The 22,751-nt window shown below is 37.4% G+C and overlaps 1 protein-coding gene across 30 annotated transcripts in view; it reads right to left on the minus strand.

The window, feature by feature from the left end:
- The window catches only part of TJP1 (tight junction protein 1), a 269,683-nt gene that overhangs the window by 81,025 nt on the left and 165,907 nt on the right, over window positions 1-22,751 (minus strand). For all 30 annotated transcript variants that reach the window (XM_005254620.4, XM_047432984.1, XM_005254619.4 and 27 more), the window contains one exon: window positions 20,255-20,311. In XM_005254620.4, coding sequence (XP_005254677.2) covers window positions 20,255-20,311 — 57 coding nt within the window. The remainder of the gene's footprint in view (window positions 1-20,254; window positions 20,312-22,751) is intronic.

The following is a 22,751-nucleotide window of genomic DNA, read 5'->3' on the forward strand; positions in this document are numbered from 1 at the left end:
GTTCACACTCCTGTGAGAATGTGATGCCGCCACAGGAGGCAGCGCTCAGGCAGTAATGAGAGCAATGGGGGGTGGCTGCACATACAGGTGAAGCTTTGCTCACTTGCCCGCCACTCACCTCCTGCTGTGTGGCTCAGTTCCTAACAGGCCAAAGATCCGTACATCTCTGTGGCCTGGGGGATGGAGACCTCCGCTCTACATAAAGTTACTATATAATGGATACTGAGTAGCAGAATAACATCTCTGCAGACAATAAAAGTATGCCTGAAAGAAGGCTTAAAAGAGGGAGAGGATTAAAACTGTTATTAGCACAAGAAGATACAAGACATGAAAGAATTAGAAAAAATGTAGAAATGAAGAGGAAGAATTCGAGACCAAATCTGAAATTTTAAAAGGTCATTTTAGATAGGAATATAAGACCAAAAAACATCTTAAGAGAAAAAGTAAAAAAGAAATCAACCTAACATCCTAACATTAAATCAACAATACATACGACATTAACAACATTACATACATTAACAACCTAACATCACAACAAAAAGAACTATAGGAACAAGAGCAAACCAACTCCAGAGCTAGCAGAAGACAAAAAATAACAAAAAGAGCTGAACTGAAGGAGCCAGGCACGAAACACCATTCAAAAGACCAACGAATTCAGGAATTGTATTTTTGAAAAAAAATCAGTAAGATAAACTATTAGCTAGACAAAGAAGAGAGAAGATCCAAATAAACACAATTAGGACAAAGGGGATACCACTGACCCCACAGGAATACAAGTAACCATCAGAGAATACTATGAACACAGCCATGCACACAAACTAGAAAATCTAGAAGAAACTGATAAATTCCTGGACAAACCCACCCTCCCAAGACTGAACCAGGAGAAACTGAATCTCTGAACATACCAGTAACAAACGCCGAAAGTGAATCAGTAGTAAATAGCCTACCAACTAAAAAAAACCCCAGGACCAAATGAATTAATAGCTGCTCTACATGTACAAACAAGAGCTGGAACAATTTCTACTGAAACTATTCCCAAAAACTGAAGAGGAGGAACAATACCCCAACTCATTCTATGAGGTCAGCATCATCCTGAGACCAAAACCTGGCAAAGACACAAAAAACAAAACTTCAGGCAAATTATCTTTGATACACATTGATGCAAAAATCCTCAACAAAATACTAGCAAGCTGAATCCAGCAGCATATTAAAAAGCTAATCCACCACAATCAAGTAGGCTTTATCCCTGGGATGCAAGGTTGGTTCAACATATGCAAATCATTAAATGTGATTCATTACATAAACAGAACTAAAGACAAAAACCACGTGATTATCTTAATAGATGCAGAAATGGCTTTCAATAAACTTCAACTCCCTTCATCTTAAGAACTCTCAATAAACTAGGCATTGAAATTGAAGGAACACACCTCAAAATAGTAAGAGCTGTATATGACAAACCTACAGCCAACATCATACTGAATGGGCAAAAGCTGGAAGCATTCTCCTTGAGAACCAGCACAAGACAAGGATGCCCTCTCTCATCACTCCTATTCAACACAGTACTGGAAGTCCTGGCCAGAGCAATTAGGTAAGAGAAAGAAATAAAGGGCATCCGAATAGGAAGAGAGAAAGTTAAACTACCCTGTTTGCAGATGACATGATTCTGTATCTAGAAAACCTCATGGTCTCAGTGCAAAAGCTCCTTAAGCTGATAAAATAACTTCAGCAGAGTTTCAGGATACAAAATCAATATACAAAAACCACTAGCATTCTTATAAACCAACAACAGCCAAGAGCCAAATCAGGAATGCAATTCATATGGAACCAAAAAAGAGCTCAAAAAGCCAAGACAATCCTAAGCAAAAAGAACAAAGCTGGAGGCATTAGGTTACCCAGCTTCAAACTAAACTACAGGGCTACAGTAACCAAACAGCATGGTACTGTAACAAAGACAGACACACAGACCAACGGAACGTAACAGGGAGCCCAGAAATAAGGCCACACATACGACCATCTGATCTTCGACAAAGCTGACAAAAACAAGCAATGGGGAAAGGATTCCTTATTCAATAAATGGTGCTGGGATAACTGGCTAGCCATATGCAGAAGATTGAAACTGGAACCCTTCCTTATACCATACATAGAAATCAACTCAAAATGGATGAAAGACATCAATGTAAAACCCAAAACTATAAAAACCCTGGAAGACAACTCAGGCAATACCATTCTGGACATAGGAACTGGCAAAGATTGCATGACAAAGATGCCAAAAGCAACTGCAACAAAAGCAAAAATTGACAAATGGAATCTAATTAAACTAAAGAGCTTCTGCACAGCAAAAGAAACCATCAAAAGAGTAAACAGACAACCTACAGAATATGAGAAAACATCTGCAAACTATGCATCTGACAAAGGTCTAATATCCATCATCTATACACAATTTTACAAGAAAAAAAACAACCCCCATTAGAAAGTGGGCAAAGGACAAGAACAGACACTTTTCAAAAAAAAAAAAAAAAAAACACGTTGCCAATAATCATATGAAAAAATGCTCAACATCAGTAATCATCAGAGAAATGCAAACTGAAACCACAATGAGCGGCCGGGCGTGGTGGCTCACTCCTGTAATACCAGCACTTTGGGAGGCTGAGGCTGGTGGATTACCTGAGGTCAGAAGTTCGAGGCCAGCCTGACTAACATGGGGAAGCCCCATCTCTACTAAAAGTACAAAAATTAGCCAGGCGTGGTGGTGCATGCCTGTAATCCCAGCTATTCAGGAGGCTGAGGCAGGAGAATCGTTTGAACCCGGGAGGCAGAGGTTGCAGTGAGCCAAGATTGTGCCACTGCACTCCAGCCTGGGCAAAAAGAGCAAAACTCCATCTCAAAGAAACAAACAAAAACACAAAGATATCATCTCACACCTGTCAGAATGGCTAATATTAAAAAAAGTCAAAAAAAAATAACAGATGCTGGCAAGGCTACAGGGAAAAGGGACTGCTTATACACGTTGGGGAAGGCAGTATGGCAGTTCCTCAGAGCTAAAAAGAAAACTACCATTCGAGCCAGCAATCCCATTACTGGGTATATACCCAAAGGAATATAAATCATTCTATCATAAAGACACATGCACGTATATGTTCACTGCAGCACTATTCGCAATAGCTAAAATGTGGAATCAACCTAAATGCCCATCAACGAAAGACTAGATGAAGTAAATGTAGTATAACTATGCAGCCATAAAAAAGAATAAGATCATGTCCTTTGCAAGAACACGGGTGGAATGGGAGGCCATCATCCTTAGCAAACTAACACAGGAACAGAAAACCAAACACTGCATGTTCTCACTTATAAGCGGGAGCTAAATTATGAGAACACATGGACACAGAGGCAACACACTGGGGACTACCGGAGGGTGGAGGGTAGGAGGTGGGAGAGGAGCAGAGAAAGTAACTATTCGGTACTAGGCTTAGTACTAGGTGACAAAATAATCTGTACAACAAACCCCTGTGACACAAGTTTACCTACATAACAAATCTACACATGTACCCTGAACCTAAAATGAAAGTTTTTAAATAAACAAATAACATTTTTAAAAAAAAGAACGCCAGAGATTTTATAAAAAGGATTTGAGGAACATTACAAACACTAAAGACAAGCAAAAGCAGCATGATATATATGAACAGTAGGAGTCCCTAAAGAAGCAAATCAAAAGAAGGGAAGAGAAAAATTAGTTTAAAAAACAAAAAAAACTTCGCTGATACTATTTTTGAAAAAATTGAAACTAGGTACTGAAAGAGTTTACATCACTGTAAATATGTGAGTTATCTGAGAATATCAACTCAGGAGGACTAATACCAAAAATATATTTAAATGACTAAATTTTAAGAAAAAAGAAATAGCAACTCAAGGATTTTTTTTTTCTTTTGAGACAGAGTTTCGCTCTTCTCCTCCAGGCTGGAATGCAATGGCTTGATCTCGGCTCACTGCAACCTCTGCCTCCCGGGTTCAAGTGATTCTCCTGCCTCAGCCTCCCAAGTAGCTGGGATTACAGGTGCCCACCACCAAGCCTGGCTAATTTTTTTTTGTATTTTTAGTAGAGATGGGGTTTCGCCGTGTTGGCCAGGCTTGTCTCGAACTCCTGACCTCAGGTGATCCATCCCCGGCTTCCAAAGTGTTGGGATTACAGGCATGAGTCACCGTACCCAGCCGAGTCAAGGATTTTATATTCAACACAACTGACCTTCAAGTACAAAAAACACAAATAAACCAGTCAACATGCAAGAACACAGGAAATATTGTCTTTATGATCTCATCCTAAGGAATCTAATAATATTCTGACAATCAAAATGACGAGATACATGGATAGGACTGGTGATAAGCATCACATATATACTGTACTTATTTATAACACCAAGATTAAACGAGGATTAAAGGGTTAAATGATGTAACAGCTATATGATCTAGATATGGTAAAAACCATTTTAAAACAGAGAAATAAATGATAGCATGTGCAAAAAAAAATTTTTACTGTTTCCAGTAATCAAAGTTGACAGAGGTAGATTACTCTGAGGCAATAATATGCTCTCTGTATTAGACTTACTAAGAGACTATCATGGTACCTTCCCAAGGGGTTTTCAAAAGAAATGGAAAATGTGCCATTTTTTTCTCATCTATCTTCAACGTAAAAATTGTATAGTTCTGCCAAGACAGTTGATTTTTAAAAGTATGTTTACATGAGAAAATGTACAGGATAACTTTTAGCTTCTGGGGATGGAAGAAAGAGCATCAAAGACTTGCCGTATTTCAAACTTTTGAAACCTTAAGCAACCATGAGCAGCAATAACTTCTGTGTTTATATGTCTACGCCTGGCTAGACAACTGAATTTATGTTAGAACTTGGAAACAGGGTCCTGGAATTTTTTCAGTTATGTGTCCTGTTTTACTGGACACTAGCCATGCCCATTCCTTTACATATAATTATGACTGCTTTTGCACTGAACAGTTCCAACAGGGACCTTGTGGTGCACAAAGTCAAGCTATTTACAATCTGGCCTTTCACACAAAAGGTCTGCCCACCCACTGGTTAAAGTATTTCTTGGTTCCTTAAAAAAAAATTCCTGAAAGTTGCTCCTGTTTCAGAAATAACTGCTTAATTTATTCTCCAAAGATTCCTCTCTGTTCCTATTGAATATGCCCAATTACCTACTTAAGGATTCCACTTGTTGCCTTTTATTTTATTCTTCCATTTTTCCATATTAGGCTTGTACAATCCGCTAATTATAACTTTCCTCACTAATTCTAGTCTTACTTTTCTCCTCTTATTCTTCCTATTAACCTTTCAATGGAATTTCAATGAACATTCAATGGAACCTGTTCTAGCCATTTGTTTTCACAGTGGCCACTGAGATCACAGAATTTGAAAACCAGATGGAGCCTCAGCAATTGTCTGTTCCAGCTCCCTTCTTACAGCTGAAGTCAGCAGGCCTGGGTCCTGTGTGTCTCTATACTACTTGCCAATCATGACCTTATGGAAGACCTCCACAGATTTGAGTTCCCTCATCTGAATAAGAGAGATTTTAATGTTATCAACTTTAATATACTTTGATTCCATGGGGATCCCAAGAGATTTAAAGGCCTTTTCAAAATTAGTTAGTGGTAAGCCCAAACAGATTAGAAGTCACAAGATCCAAGCACTGCAGATTTTCTACCAACTTGGTAGTTCTCAAAATGCTGTTCAATCTTCTATGACTGTCAGATTGATTCGGTTTTTTAACAGTTATGTCCCTTGGCTAGTCAAATTGTGTGTGTCTTCCTGTTTATTCTTACTCTCATTCTTTTAGTTCTGATACCCAAATCATAGTTTTCATTTCTCATTCCTGTTCCATTTTCTTATTTCCAGCTTCTTACAGAATACCTCCAAGTCCCCTTCTTTAAGACTGTCATTTTCTCTATAAAATTAGCCTCACCACCAATGTTCTAAACAAACATTGGCTCCTCTATTGCCAAATTACCTACCCTTTATTTTATTTACTTTATTGCATGTATAGAGAGACCTTTGTTTAGTTTATGTGAATTACATGAGTTCTTAATTTCAGAAATTATGTTCCATAAACTTTTTGTTTTTTAGAGACAGGGTCTCACTCTGTTGCCCAGAATGGAGTGCAGTGGTGCAATCACAGCTGACTGTAACCTCAAACTCCTGGGTTCAAGTGATCCTATCGCCTCAGCCTCCTGAAGTAACTGGGACTACAGGTGGACACGACCATGCCTGGCTAAATTTTTTGGGGGTGTGTAGAGATAGGGTCTCACTATGTTGCCTCCACTGGTCTTGAACTCCTGGCCTAGAGTGATGCTCCTGCCTTGGCCTCCCAAAGTACTGGAATTACAGGTGTGAGCCACTGTGCCAGCCACATTTAAAAACTGTAAATTAAACGTGACATATAAATGGAAAGAGCACTGTATGCTGAGTCCAAACCTGGGTTCAAGTTCTCGCTCTTAAGGGGCATTTTACTAGACCTTTCTGAGACTTACCTTACTTCACATGGTTAACACCTACTTCACAGACAAATATAATGAAGGGTCTGAAAAACTTATAATGTACTAAGTACAAACAATAGCCTTCTACCAGATAAAGGGAGTGTATCTTAGATTACATGTTTGCTTCAGCTTAAATACTTTATCAGACAGCAGTTTGGAGCTGCTTGACCGATAAAATTCCTTTTATCACTTTACTGATATATAATTCATATATCATAAATTCACTCTTTAAAGTGTATGATTCAATGGTTTTTAGTATGTACACAGTTGTAACCATCACTGGTTACAGATGGTGCCAGGACAGCTGGTTAACCACATGCAAAATAATGAATTTGGACCCCTACCTCACAACATCTACAAAAATTAAGTTTAAAGAACCATAGGTCTAAGTATAAGAGCTTAAACTCTAAACCTCTTTGAAGAAAACACAGGAATAAATCTTCATGACCTGAGTTAGGCAACAGCTTACTGAATATGATGTCAAAAGTATAAGCAACAAAAGAGAAAACACATACATTGGACCCCATCAAAATTTTATAACATTTTCACCACCCTAAAAAGAAACTCCGCATTCTTTAGCCATCATCTCTCAATCCCCTAGCCTCATCAACCACTAATATAACTCTCTATTCACCTATTCTGAATACTTCTTATAAATGGAATCACATAATATATGTTCTTTTATGACTGGCATCTTTCAGTTAGCATAATGTTTTCAAGGTTCATCAATGTTGTGGCATGTATCAGTACTTCATTTCTTTTTATTGCTAAATAATATTCCATTCTATGTATATATCATGTTTATTCATTATTCATCAGCTAATATAGCCAGATCTATTATGAATAATGGTGCCATTAACACTCATGTGTAACTTATTATGTAGACATTTGCTTTCATTTCTCTTGGGTGTATACCTATGAGAGGAATTGCTATGTCCCATAATAATTCTATGAGGAATTCTCAAACTGTTTTCTACAGCAGCTGCACCATTTTACAGTCCTATCAGCAATGTACAAAGGTTTTAATTTCTCCACATCCTTGCCAACCTTTATTGTCTTTCTGAGTACAGCCATCCTAGTGGGTGTGAAGGGGTATTTCACTATACTTTTTGATATACATTTCCTTGAAGGCTAATGATACTGAACATCTTTTCATGCATTTATTGCACATTCATACATCTTCTTTGAGGAAGTATCTATTCAAATCATTTGCTATTTTTCAACTGATTTGTCTTTTTATTGTTCAGTTATAAAAGTTCTTTATATATTCTAGAAACAAATCCCTTATCAGATGTATGATTTGCAAGTATCTTTTCCCATTCTGTGGAATATCTTCTCACTTTCTTGATGGTGTCCTTTGAAGCACAAAAGTTTCTAATTTTGATGGGGTCCAATGTATCTGTTTTCCCTTTTGTTGCTTATACTTTTGACATCATATCCAATAAACCATTGCCTAACCCAGGTCACGAATAATTATCCCTGTGTTTTCTTCAAAGAGGTTTAGAGTTTAAGCTCTTATACTTACACCTATGGTTCATTTAAACTTAATTTTTGTAAATCTTGTGAGGTAGGGGTCCAAATTCATTATTTTGCATGTGGTTAACCAGCTGTCCTGGGTCTGTTAATGACTGTTCTTCCCTCCAGTGCATTGCCTTGGCACCCCATCCCAAGTTTACCTCTTATGCAATCACCTCCCTAGTTTAAACACTCACTGGCTCACCCTTAAAATTACCTGACTAGTTTCCTTGCTTTCTATACTCATCTTTTAATACTTTAGTATACAAATATTTAATCTTTTACATAATTCTATTTTAGAAAATGAAAAAGCAGAGTAACGACGAGCAACTCATTCCTGAGGAATTCACTTCATTTCCCAAAGAATTAGAAAAATGTATGCATTTTCTAAGGGCGAGTATCTGAAAACTAAAAAGGTGTGGGTGTGTTACAGCAGCAGGAGAGGTGAACACATGTGGTTACCATCTGAAGCTACACACCTACACTAATACGATAAGCATCAGACTTGTGACTATTAAGCACTTCAAAAATGGCTAGTGTTACCTGAAAGGTGCTGACATTGAAAAGTGAACAATTTTGTAAGATCAACTCATCAATTTTTAAACTTATCACATGTTGAAATATATTTTGTGCATACTAAATAAGACCTATTATAAAGTTAGTTTCACCTGTTTTTCTTTTTTTTTACAGTTTTTAATAAGAAGACTAAAAAATTTAAATTTACATATGTGGTTTATATTATACTGCTACTGGGCGGTGCTGTTGTAGACCTCCCAAGAGTGACTTTATTCGACATGGTTAGTGTCCTAGGGAATTAAGTTTTTTGGGGCAGAACTAGGTACCAAGCACTAAGGAGATAGAAAACGGACTTAAGATTTCCAACCCTTGTGAAAGTTATAATGTAGTAGGAGATGGGGTAAACAACTATCTGATGTACATATTCAACTGTCACTGAGGACCAGTAGAGAGATCAGAATCCATGAGGAGGCAAATTCTGCCTGTTTTTTTCTGATATAATTCCAGGGCCCACAAGAGTACAACAGTGCTTGGCATACAGTAGAACACTAAAAAATTACTTAGTCTTTAAGAATGAATAGGGTTTCAATGGTTTCTAGAAATATAAGATGAAGAAAATATCTTCTGGAAATACAAATGAAAGAATGAAGCATATATTATTCTAGACAGTAAATAGCAGAAAATGTTAGGTTCTCATCAATTAAATGGCTTTTTTATAACATTACCTCCAACTTTCATAAAATTGACTGTCAGATGTCAAAGAATATGGATTTGTCTTTATTTGGCAATACAGAGTATCTATACTCCAGGTTATTGCCAAAAGAATACAGTTTCAAATTATCCCCTTCACTTACTACCACTGCCAAAAGCCCACTTGCTCACCTCAGAGAGAACAAGCTTTCTGATTCCTCTGTGTTTCTTAAAAGTGGGATGCCAGAGGCCATAGCCCTCCATTTCAAACTGAAGCCTATTTAAAATACGTGTTAGGGATCCCAGCCCAGACAAACTGAGTAAGAATCTCTGATGGGCAGGGACTGTGCAGTTGATCCCTCTTTACAATAAAACCTGGAGAGCCACTGCTCTAATCAGCAGTCAGCACACTATGGCCCACAGTTGGAATACAGCCACATTCGTTTGCCTGTTGTCTATGGTTGCTTCTACAATACGGCTGCAGGGTTGAGTAGTTTTGACAGAGATTTATGGTCTGCAAAGCCTAAAATACTTATTTACTATCTGGCTCTTTATATAAATACTTTGCTGATCCTGCTCTAGATAGTCTAAATTTTATTCGGCATCATCTTAGAACACCAAACAACTAAGACAGTTGAAAGTACCATTCTGTAGCCTCAGAGAATGAAGTCAATTAAGTTATGCTTTGGCATAACTCAGCTCCCACTGGCAAGACTTTTTCATTGTCCAAAGATTTTAAAAATGTTTTTATTTTTAATTATTATAGTAAACAGTAGTTGTATATATTTATGGGATCCACATCATACATTTTGATACAAGTATAATGTGTAACGATTAAATCAGGGTAACTGGGATATTCATAACCTCAAGTATTTATCATTTCTTTGCTGTTACGAACATTTCAATTCCACTCTTCTAGTTACTGTGAAATACACAATAAATTAACGATAGTTGCCCTATTGTGCTACTAAACACTGTATCTTACTCCTTCTAACCATATTTTTGCACCCATTAACCAAGTCTTCCATCCCTACTTCCCTACCACCCTTCCCGGTCTCTGGTAACCATCATTCTACTCTCTGTCTCCGTGAGTTCATTTTTCTTTTTTTTTTTTTTTTTAGTTCCCACGAGTGAGAAAATGTGGTATTCGTCTTTCTGTGCCTGGCTTATTTCATTTAACGTAATGTCCTCCAGTCTCATTTATGTTGTTGCAAATGACAGGATTTCATTATTTTTTATGGTTGACTAATATTCCATGGAACATATTTACATTTTCTTTATCCCTTCATCAACTGATGTACACTTATGTTGATACTATAACTTGGCTATCACGAATAATGCTGCAATAAACATGGGAGTGCAGTTATCCCTTTGATATACTCGTTTCCTTTTTTTTTGGACGGAGTCTCACTCTGTCACCAGGCTGGAGTGCAATGGCGCGATTTCGGCTCACTGCAATCTCTGCCTCCCGGGTTGAAGCAATTCCCCTGCCTCAGCCTCCTGAGTATCTGGGACTACAGGTGCACACCACCACATTTGGCTAATTTTTTGTATTTTAGTAGAGACGGGATTTCTCCATTTTGGTCAGGCTGATCTTGAATTCCTGACCTCAGGTGATCCGCTCACCTTGCCCTCCCAAAGTGCTGGGATTACAGGCATGAGCCACCGCACCCAGGCCTTTCTTTGGGATATATACTCAGCAGTGGAAATGCTGGATCATATGGTTGCTCTATTTTCAGTTTTTGAGGAGCCTCCATAATATTCTTTTTTTTTTTTTTTTTTTTTTTTTGAGACAGAGTCTGGCACTGTTGCCCAGGTTGGAGTGCAGTGCAGCAATCTAGGCTCACTCCAAGCTCCACCTCCCAGGTTCACGCCATTCTCCTGCCTCAGCCTCGCGAGTAGCTGGGACTACAGGCGCCCACCACCACGCTCGGCTGGTTTCACCGTGTTAGCCAGGATGGTCTCGATGTCCTGACTTCATGACCCACCCACCTCGGCCTCCCAAAGTGCTGGGATTACAGGCGTGAGCCACCATGCCCGGCCTCCATGCTATTCTTCATAGTGACTGTACTGGTTTACATTCCTATCAACAACGTATAAGAGTTCTCTTTTTTCTGCCTGCTCACTAGCATTTGTTATTGCCTGTCTTTTTGATAAAAGCCATTTTAACTGGGATGAAATATTTCATTATACTTTCGATTAGTATTTATCTGATTAGTGATGTTGACCATTTTTTCATATACCTGTTGACCATTTACCCATATGTCTTCCTGAGAAACATCTATTCAGCTCTTGTGCTTCAGATCTTTTGCCCATTTTTAAATTGGATTTCTTTTTCCTATCGAGTTGTTTCAGCTCCTTACATATTCTGGTTATTATCTCATCAGTTGGGTAGTCTGCAAATATTTTCTTCATTCTGTGGGTTGTTTCTTCATTTTGTTGACTGTTTGTTGTGCAGCAGCTTTGAGCTTGATGTGATCCCACTGTCCATTTTGTTGTGGTTGCCTGTTCTTTGGAGGTCACACTCAAGAAACCTTAGCCCATACCAATGACCTTTAGTGTTTCCCAATGTTTTCTTCTAGTAGTCTCATAACTTCAGGTGCTTAATCCATTTTGATTTGTTTTAGTATACGGCAAGAAATAGGGGTCCAGTTTCATTCTTCTGCATGTGGATGTCCAGTCTTCCCAGCACCATTTATTGCAGACTGTCCTTTCCCCAATGTTCTTAGTGGCTTTGTTGAAAATGAGTTGGAGGTAAATGTGTGGATTTTTTTCTGGGCTCTCTATTCTGTTCCACTGGTCTGTGTCTGTTTTTATGCCAGCACCATGCTATAGCTCTGGAGTATAATTTGAAGTCACATAATGTATGTAATGTGATTCCTTCAGTTTTGTTCTTTTTGCCCAGGATTGCTTTGCCTACTCTGGGTCTTTGTGGTTCCACAAAAATTTTAGGATTGTTTTTCCAACCCTAAAACATAATTCTGTGAAGAATGTCATTGGTGTTTTGACAAGGGTTGCAATGAATCTGTAAATTCCTTTGGGTAGTGTGGACATTTTAACAACACTGATTCCAACAATACTGAATCCATGACCATGGAGTATCTTTCCACTTTTTGGTGCCGTCTTCAATATCTTTCATCAGTGTTTTATAGTTTTCATTGTAGAAATCTTTCACTTCTTTGGTTAAGTTTATTCCTAGGTATTTTATTTTATTTTATTTGTAGCTATTGGAAATAAGATTATTTTCTTGGTTTATTTTCTAGATTGTTTGCTCTTGGCATACAGAAATGCTGCTGATTTTTATATGCTGACTTTGCATCCTGCAATTTTACTAAACCTCAGTTCTAACAGTTTTCTGGTAGAGTCCTTAGGTTTTTCTAAATTTAAGATACTATTGTCTGCAAACAAGGGTAATCTAAATTTTTCCTTCCAATTTGGATGCCTTTTCTTTTCTTCTCCTGTTTAATTGCTCTGGCTAGGACTTCCAGTACCACGTTGAAGAAAGGTGGTGAAAGTGGGCTTCCTTGCCTTCTTCCAGATCTTACAGGAAAGGCTTTTAGATTCCCCCCTCATGATACTAGCTGTGGGTTTATCTGTCTGTGGCTTTTATTGTGTTGAGGCATGTTCCTTCTACATCCAGTTGAGTTTTTATCATGAAGGGATGCTGAATTTTACTGAATACTTTTTTGGCATCTATAGAAATGGACATATGGTTATGTCCTTCATTCTTTTGATGTGATGTATCGCATTTACAGATCTGAATATGTATTAGGTGGTTCTCACATTGCTATAAAGAAATACCTGAGACTGGGCAATTTATATAAAAAAAGAGTTCATTGGCTCACTATTCTGCAGGCTGTACAGCAAGCATGACAGCATCTGCTTGGCTTCTGGTGAGGCCTCAGGAAATGCATAATCAGGGCAGAAGGCAACAGGGGAACACACATGGCCAGAGTAGGAGAGAGACAGAGAGCAGGGAGGTTTAAACAATCAGATCTCATGAGAACTCACTAACTATATAGTAGCAAGGGGAGATGGGGCTAAACCATTCATGAGAACTCCACTCCTATGATCCAATCACGTTCCACCAGGCCCCTCCTCCAACACTGGGGATTACAATTAAATGTAAGATTTGGGCAGGGACACAAACACAAACCATATCAGAGTATGTTGAACCATCCTTGCATCCCTGGGATGAATCCCACTTGATTACAATGAATGATCTTTTAAATATGTAGTTGAATTTGGTTTAAGGATTTTGCATCTCTGTTCAAAGATACTGGCCTGTAGTTTTCTTTTTTTGTTGCGTCTTTGTCTGGTTTTGGTACCAGGGAAATACTGGCCCTTTGGAATGAATTTGGAAGTATTCTCTTCTTAGCTTTTGTGATATAATTCTTCTTTAAATGTTTGGTAGAGTTCAGCAGTGAAGCCATCAGGTCCTGGGCTTTTCTTTGATGATTTTCTTTTTTTCTTTTCTTTTATTACTGCTTGCTCTGAAAATATTTCTTTTTTAATTCAAAAAACCAAAAACAAACAAAAAACAACCAAAAAACCATTCCTGGAGGGATGGCTGGTGAGGACTTTGATTTTGTCATAGTCTCTCTGTGATGAGGCTCAGAGGAAACCCAGCTGTTTTCCTAGTACAACAGTTAGCATATTCAACAACTGAAGAATTGTGAGTTATATACCTCTCTTATCTCAATGTATCTTCTGATGACATTTTCTGGGCTGCCCTCTCATGGCAAAAAAATAACTGAGGCACAGAAAGAAGCCAGGTACAAAATGGAACCTACATTAATCATCTAAAACGGCATTATCATAACAGACTTGCCTGAGCCATTACTTACCACAATGAATTGGTATGACACTTCTAACAAGGTCAGAAAAATCAGATTCTGTTTTCTTAATATTGAGGATCTTTCCCACTTTCCCTGAGCTAATGAGACACAGGTCTGTGGCAAATACATTTAGTATTTTCCTACACATGAATTCCTAACAAAACCAAGCAAGAGCATACAAAGGGAAACATACTTTAGCTAATTTAAAGGTGTCTTATGTTATTTTGCTTATTGAAAAAACTGAAAAGGTAGTAAGGAAAAGATGTAATGTGGTAATAGCAAATTGCATCTGTGGTCTCTAATGAATAATCTCGCTTCCAGTAAAAAAAACTATCAAAAGAGCTTAAACTCAAGGTAAACAAAAGGATGAAAATATTAAAATAAGAGCAGAAATCAATGAAACAGAAAACAGAATAAAGAATGTCACTGAAAACAAAAGTAGGTATTTTGAAAAGATCAATAAAATTGTCAAACCTCTAGCCAGACTGACCAAGAAATAAGACACAAATTACCAATATAAATAATGAAACAAAACAAAACAGCATTATAGAACCATCCAAAATTAAAAATAAGGGAATATTATGAACAATGTTATACTCATAATTTTAACAACTTACATGATAAAGACAAATATTTTGAAAGACACAAACTACCAGTCAGGCATGGTGGCTCACGCCTGTAATCCCAGCACTTTGGGAGGCTGAGGTGGGAGGATTGCCTGAGGTCAGGAGTTCAAGACCAGCCCAGCCAACCTGGTGAAACACCGGCTCTACTAAAAACACAAAAACTAGCCAGGCTGGTGGTGCATGCTTACAGTCCCAGCTACTCGAGAGGCTGAGGCAGGAGAATCGCTTCAACCGCAGAGGTTGCAGTGAGCCATGATGGTACCACTGCACTCCAGCTTGGGTGATACAGCAAGACTCTGTCTCAAAAAAAAAAAAAAAGACTACCAAAAAACAAAACAAAACAAAACAAACTGTAACAAGGAAAAAATACATAACCTGAATATTCCTATATAAAATTAAAGAAACTGAATTTGTAATGAAAACCCTTCCCACAAAGAAAACTCTAGCACCAGGTAACTCTACTAGTGAATTCTAACAAATATTTAAGAAAAAAATAAAATCAATTGTACATGAACTCTACCAGAAACCACAAAAGGAAGGAACACGTCCCAACTCCTTGTTTTGAGGTACAGCTTTTCCATGATACCAAAACCAGATATAAACAATGTTAAAAAAAAGTACTGACCAATAAAACAAGAATCTTCACAAAACATCAGCAAATCAATCCAGCAACATCTGGAATGGATAACATGTAAACAATCAAGTAGAATTTATCTGAGGAATGCAAGGCTGTTCAACAAACAACAAGAAATCCACCATATCAACAGATTAAGAAGAAAACCCATATAATCCCAGTCATACACACACAAAAAAAAGCACTGACAAAAATTCAACTTTCATTCATGATTAAAAACAACCATCTCTCAGTAAACTAAGATAAAAGGGAACTTCCTCAATCTAACAAATGGCAAAATAGAAATACAAGGGAACTTCCTTAACCTGATAAAAGGCATCAACCAAAAAAAAAACCACTTACTGGTGAAAGACAGCTTTTACCCAGTATTAAGAGTAAGGTAAGTATGCCTGCTCACCATTCCTAATTAACAACATCCTGAAAGTCCAAACTAGTGCAATAAGGCAAGAAAAAGAAATAAAGAGCATTCAAAAGGAGGGAAAAAAACTGCCTCTATACACAGATGACATGACTGCCTACACATAGGAAAACACCCAGGAATCTAAACAAGAAAGTTCCTACAACTAGTAATTTTAAGACTGCAAGGTTGCTATAAAAAAAAAAACAAAAAAAAACCTGCATTTCTACACAGTAACAAGGAACAATCAAATATTGAAATGAAAAAAAAAAAACTATTTACAATAGCGCCAAGAAACATGAGATATTTAACTATAAACCTAACAAAAATGTGTGCAGGATCTATTTGCCAAAAACTACAATACATTAAAGAAATAAAACAATGAGGAGATAACATTATATTCATAGTTTGGAATATTCAATATTGTTAAAATGTTAATTATCCCCAATGATTTGTAGATTCAAATGCAATCCCAATAAAATCCCAGCAGTTTTATTTTCTTTGAGGGAAGGAAGATAAAAGTTGACAAAATTATTCTAAAATTTATACAGAAAGGCAAAGGAGCTAGAATAGCCAAAATAATTTTAAAAAGTATTTGGAGGATTTGCCCTACCTGATTTCCACGTTTAATATAAAGCTACAGTAATCGATGCATAAGTAACTGGTAAAAAGGCAGACACACAGATCAACAGACCAGACAAGGGAGTCCAGAAATATATGGTCAATTGATTTTTGACAAAGCGAGAAAGGCAATTAAACGGACAAAGTATAATCTTTCAAACAAAATGCTTCTTCAAAATAAACACTGGACATCTGTATGAAAAAAAAAAAATCTCTCTGCCCGTATCTCATGGCACAAACAGAATTTAACTGAAATAAAACTTTTAAAGGAAAACAGAGGAAAAATTATTCTTGATTTTGGGTTTGGCAAAGATTTCTGAGATACAAAACCAAAAACATGATTGATAAAGGCAAAAATTAACAAACTGGACTTTATCAAAAATTTTTCTTTCTTTCCTTTTGAGACAGAGTCTTACTCTGTCTCCCATGCTGGAGTGCAGTGGCACGATGTCAGGGTCATTGCAACCTCTGCCTCCTGGGCTCAAGCGATTCTCCTGCCTCAGCCTCCCGAGTAGCTGGGACTACAGGCACATGCCAACACTCCCAGCTAATTTTTGTATTTTTAGTAGAGACAGGCTTTCACCATGTTGGCCAGGCTGGTCTCAAATTCCTGGCCTCAAGTAATTTGTCTGCCTTGGCCTACCAAAGTGTTGGGTTTACAGGCTTGAGCCACTACACCTGGCCAGAGCTTTATCAAAACTTAAAGCATGTACTGCAAAAGACACTGTCATTAAGAGAAAGAAAAGGCAAATCACAGAATGGGAAAAAAATACTTACAAAATAATACCTGATAAAGAATCTGTATCCTGAATACGTTAAAAAAAAAAAAAAAAAATCTCAAAACTCAGTAACTTCTGTGTACCAAAAAGAATAATCACAGAGTAAAAAGGCAATCCATGGAAAGGAAAAAAATATTTGCAAATCATATATTTAACAACTGGTTAATATCCAAAATATATAAAGACTACTGCAACTCAACAACTAAAAAACAAGCAACATAGAGCTTAAAAATGGGCAACAGTCTTGAATACGTGAAGTCTATGTTGTATTTTGCCGCAATTTTATAAAATCTCAATAATAAGAAAAACCCAATTAAAAATGGGCAAAAGGTTTGAATACATTTTACCAAAGATATATGGACAACAAATGAGCACATCAAGAGATCATTAATCTTCAGAGATAAGCAAACTAAAACCACGTGTGATACCGCTAGATACCCACTGAATGGCAATTGGTCTTGCTCTGTTGCCCAGGATGGAATGCAATGGCGTGATCTCGGCTCATTGCAACCTCCATCTACTGGGTTCAAGTGATTCTCCTGCCTCAGCCTCCAAGTAGCTGGGACTACAGGCGCCTGCCACCACGTCCAGCTAATTTTTGTATTTTTAGTAGACGGGGTTTCACCACGTTGGCCAGGCTGGTCTCAAACTCCTGGCCTCGGGTAATCCACCAGCCTCTCCCTCCCAAAGTGCTGGGATTACAGGTGTGAGCCACTGTGCCCAGCGTTTTTTTTTTTTTTTCTTTTCTTTCTAAATCTGACAATACGGATTGAGTATCCTTTACCTGAAATGCTTGGGACCAGAAATGTTTCAGATTTCAAATGTTTTGGATTTGGGAATATTTGCGTTATACTTACCAGTTCGGCACCCATAATCTGAAAATCCAAAATTCAGAATGTTCCAATGAGCATTTCCTTTAAACATGACGTCATCACTCGAAAAGTTTTGAATTTTGCATTTTAGATTTCAGATCTGGGATGCTCAACCCATATCAAGTGCTGATGAGGATACGCAACAACGGGAGCTCTTATACACTGCCAGTGGTGGTGTTAGATGGTACAGAGAATTTGACCATTTCTTTAAAACTTAAATAATTACCATGGGACCCACAGCAAGTCTTTTCCTAAGTATTTACCCAAAAGAAATAAAAAGTTATGTTCATACAAAAACCTGTACACTAGAGGTTTGTTCATAATCAATGGAAACTGCAAAACACAAATATACCACAACTGGAGAACGAACACACAATTATACATTCATACAATGAAATGCTACTATGCAATAAGAGAAACTACTGATAGAGTAACATCATGGAGAAATCCCAAATGCATTAGGCTAAGTGTAAGAAGTCAGCCTCAAAAGGCTACATGTTGTATGAGTCCATTTACATGACATTCTAGAAAAGGCAAGAATGTACAAAAAGAAACCATATCATTGGTTAAGTGGACGTGAGGGGACCGGGATGATTAAAAATAGGTGTTAAGAGAAAGTTTTTGTATTGAAGTTGTCTTGTATTTTAATTGTGGTGGTTACATGACTGTATATGCTTGTCAAAACTCAGAACTGTAAGGGTCAATTTCACTGTATGTAAATTATACCAATAAAAACAATAAAAGTCTTAATAAAAATAAATGTAATATGATAAAAAAAATACCAAATCATTGACATCGCCACTAGTCATAAGGTAAGAAGTTATTTTATATGTTTAATCATATGTATCTGATTTAAATATGCTACCTATCAATACATTTCAAACAAAGGAAGGCCATGTTGCAGGTTTATGAAAGTTAAGGTTAGTATTAGATAATGATTTCCTTCACCATTTAATAATGAAACATTAAAAAGTTGACTATATCTTATCAGAAAAAAAAATTTTTTTTTTTTTTTGAGAGGGAGTCTCGCCTCTGTCACCCAGGCTGGAGTGCAGTGGCATGATCTCGGCTCACTGCAAGCTCTGCCTCCTGGGTTCACGCCATTCTCCCGCCTCAGCCTCCCGAGTAGCTGGGACTACAGGCACCCGCCACCACGCCTGGCTAATTTTTTTGTATTTTTAGTACAGACAGGGTTTCACCATGTTATCCAGGATGGTCTCAATCTCCTGACCTCGTGATCTGCCTGCCTCAGCCTCCCAAAGTGCTGGGATTACAGGCGTGAGCCACCACACCCAGCCAAAAACAACTATTTTTTAATAATTAATTTACCCATTATCTACTATGTGCAGATCCAAACATTCGTGAGATAATCAGGGGCAGAGTCCAGCAACATGATTCTTTCCCCTTTCCATCTTCCTAATAATGGATATAGCTGGTAGAAATAGTAAGTGTAAAGTGCAAGGCCAGTATTTAAATATTCTCTCTTTCCATACATTCTCTAAGAAAGGGAGTAATCAGTAGATTCAGCTCTCTTGAAAGAGAGGAAAGAGAATTTTGAGAGACACTTAACTTTACAAATTGGTAAAGCATGAACTGGTGTCAACTTGTTCCATTTTAAACTTGTGAAAACCAAGGTTTTCGAAGGTGACTGAATCACTTCCCCATTTCTAAAGCAAGAGAAAGGCAGAACCAGAATTCAAATTGATAGCAGTCTCACTTCGGACAAAGTTCTTAGTCCCACCAAGTAAGAACTCATCTCTTACTACTACTCATCTCTCTTCTCGCATCTGCAATTGTTTAAGCAACAGCTTGGGTCAACATGTTTGAAATCAATTAAGTATCTTTTAGGATTTTATTATGCATACAACCTGGTTTAATTTCAAACTTCACTCCCACAATGGATGCATATATACTCAGAAAGGTTGAAGCAGTTTATAATAATTTATACTAATGTACAGAGTCTTTTATCTGATCACTCAAAATTTTAAAAGCAAATCACTTTTTAAGTCAGGAATAAAAACAGCAAATACTCAAAAGGATATATGAAAAAGTAATCATGCTCACTTTTGACCTTAATAAAAAATTATTGTAACTCTAATTTTAAACAAAAGAATATAGAAAAAGTTTCCTCCTCCCTCTGGCTTCCTGACATCTGGCTTTCCTCTATTGTTTTCAAAGCTGCCAGTATCCTGAGTTATACACAGATTACTTACTGCAACACAAACTTACCCTGTGAAGCGTCACTGTATGTTGTTCCCATATAGCTGTTTCCTCCATTGCTGTGCTCTGATAAAGGAAAAGAAAAACAAATCATTTACCTTTTAAGAAAATGTCCTTAATAAGGTGAGCAAGAACATCCAACAATTCAGCACACTGAAATACCAAAATTCACAGTTAATATTAGAGACACTCTGAAAGGACCTTAATAATTATGGAAAGTTTTTTGTTTGCTTTTAAGAGACAGGAAACGACACACAGGAACTTCCTTTGTTTTTAACTTAATTTGGACAGCTGCTCTATATTCATTTCATGCAAGCTGAAATCAGTATTCAAGCTAATTCTGCAACTTTATACTTAGAAAAGAATAAAAGTTGGAGCGGTATTATCTTAAAATATCTAATGGCACGTAAACATTTAAAAGCATCTCTTATGTTTTACAAACGAAGGGAAAGTTAAATGCCTCTGAACACAGTAATTATAAATATACATGTCACAGGAAAACAGATAAAACCATTAATAGGTTTGGCAAATGGCTGCTTTAACGTCACAAACATGACTACTCTACCTAGTTTCAGTTTTGCTACAGAATTACTTCTCAAGCTTCATTTATAACCAAAAGAAAAAGAACAGCTTTTCTAGTATATGTATCACACACGTAGATACACACAAGAAACAAAAACAAAAAAGAACAATCTCCCAAACTCCCCCAAGAATCATCATAAAATAAAAGCAGTAAGAGCTCCAATACAGGTCCTGCCCAAATTATAGCGTACTTCAGTTTTACCTCCTGTCATGAGCCTCTCAATAGAGAGGAAAATAAATTATTATTTTTTTTTTTTTTTTGAGACGGAGTCTCGCTCTGTCGCCCAGGCTGGAGTGCAGTGGCGGGATCTCGGCTCACTGCAAGCTCCGCCTCCCGGGTTCACGCCATTCTCCTGCCTCAGCCTCCCAAGTAGCTGGGACTACAGGCGCCCGCCACTACGCCCGGCTAATTTTTTGTATTTTTAGTACAGACGGGGTTTCACCGTTTTAGCCGGGATGGTCTCGATCTCCTGACCTCCTGATCCGCCCGCCTCGGCCTCCCAAAGTGCTGGGATTACAGGCGTGAGCCACCGCGCCCGGCCGAAAATAAATTATTATCTAAGGCAGGGGTGTCCAATCTTTTGGCTTCTCTGGGCCACACTTGAAAGAAGAAGAATTGTCTTGGGCCACACATAAAATACACTAACACTAATGAAAGCTGATGAGCTTAAAAAAAAAATTACAAAAAAAAAAATCTCATAATGTTGTAAGAAAATTTACGAATTTGTGTTGGGCCGCATGCGACCTGTGAACCACGGGTTGGACAAGGTTGATCTAAGGAATTAGCAGTAAGGAATTCAAAATAAATTTCTTTTAAATGGGGTTAATTGCTCTTGGAGACTTAAAATATTTCAGTCTCTCTTAATGTTACCATTTTATGAAACTGGGACTCCTAAAATGTATTTACAAGTAAATTTAAAAAAGATTCTTCAGAGTTATCAAAAGGTAAAGTAAAAAGGGAGAAGGCTAAGCATGACACTCTCAGATCACTAGTCACCCATTACTATAAATGCCTATTTCATAAGTGAGGTCTGTTTTCTCTTACTGCTGTCATTAGCATCATGAGAATATGCCTACCAAGGTGCCATGGGCCCATTCTCTCCTTTCCCACAGCGACTTTAATTGAAGATTAATGCCATTTTAGAAAGTAAGTCCCTATAAAGAAAGCCTGCTTCCCTAAATTCAAAGCAACTAGATTATCCTGCCAGATGAATAAGAGAGGAGAGAGAAAGGATCTCTCTGTTCACTCCCATAGATAAGAACTGCCAACCTCACCAGCATTTGTTTCAATCTTCCAATGAAGTGCACCAAAACCTCCCTTTAATGAGACCTCCACTGGAAACAAAGCTGTTTTTTTTTTTTTAAACAAACATTGACCGGGATAATGCACTAAAAAAAAAAATTCTTCCATCAATGAGAAGCAACAATAGTATGAGTAAATCAGCTAAACATCAACAGTCCCACTAACATACACATGATAAAAGTATCTGCAAGAGTTGCCAGTTTGTCCAATCTCAGCTGATATTAAGAATGAGAACTGCTTGCATAGCTCTCAGTTCATCTTTTCTTGATCTATTTCATTAACCAGTGACATTGTTTTACTGCCTTTTTAATCTTTTTCCTATCAGTCCAAATGGCAAGTGATGTGATAACATGCACTTAACTCTCTTTGATAACATACTCTATGGTATGAAACAGTTCATCATCCTCTCTAAGGTCTTAATGAACACAGTTTTCCATTTTGTAAGAAGATGTTAATCAAATGGGAAAATTTATTTAACATTAAGGGGGGAGCAGGTTGTAAAACAGCGTGTACATGGTTATCCTAATTTTGTTTAAACATTAGTAGGGAATAAAGGCTCAAAGGATAAACAAAATGTTAACATTGTTTATCACCTTCAAAGTAAAGGGACTGTGGGTGACA

This window comes from Homo sapiens, chromosome 15 (genome assembly GCF_000001405.40).
Source record: "Homo sapiens chromosome 15, GRCh38.p14 Primary Assembly".
NCBI classification, from domain to species: Eukaryota; Metazoa; Chordata; class Mammalia; order Primates; family Hominidae; genus Homo; species Homo sapiens.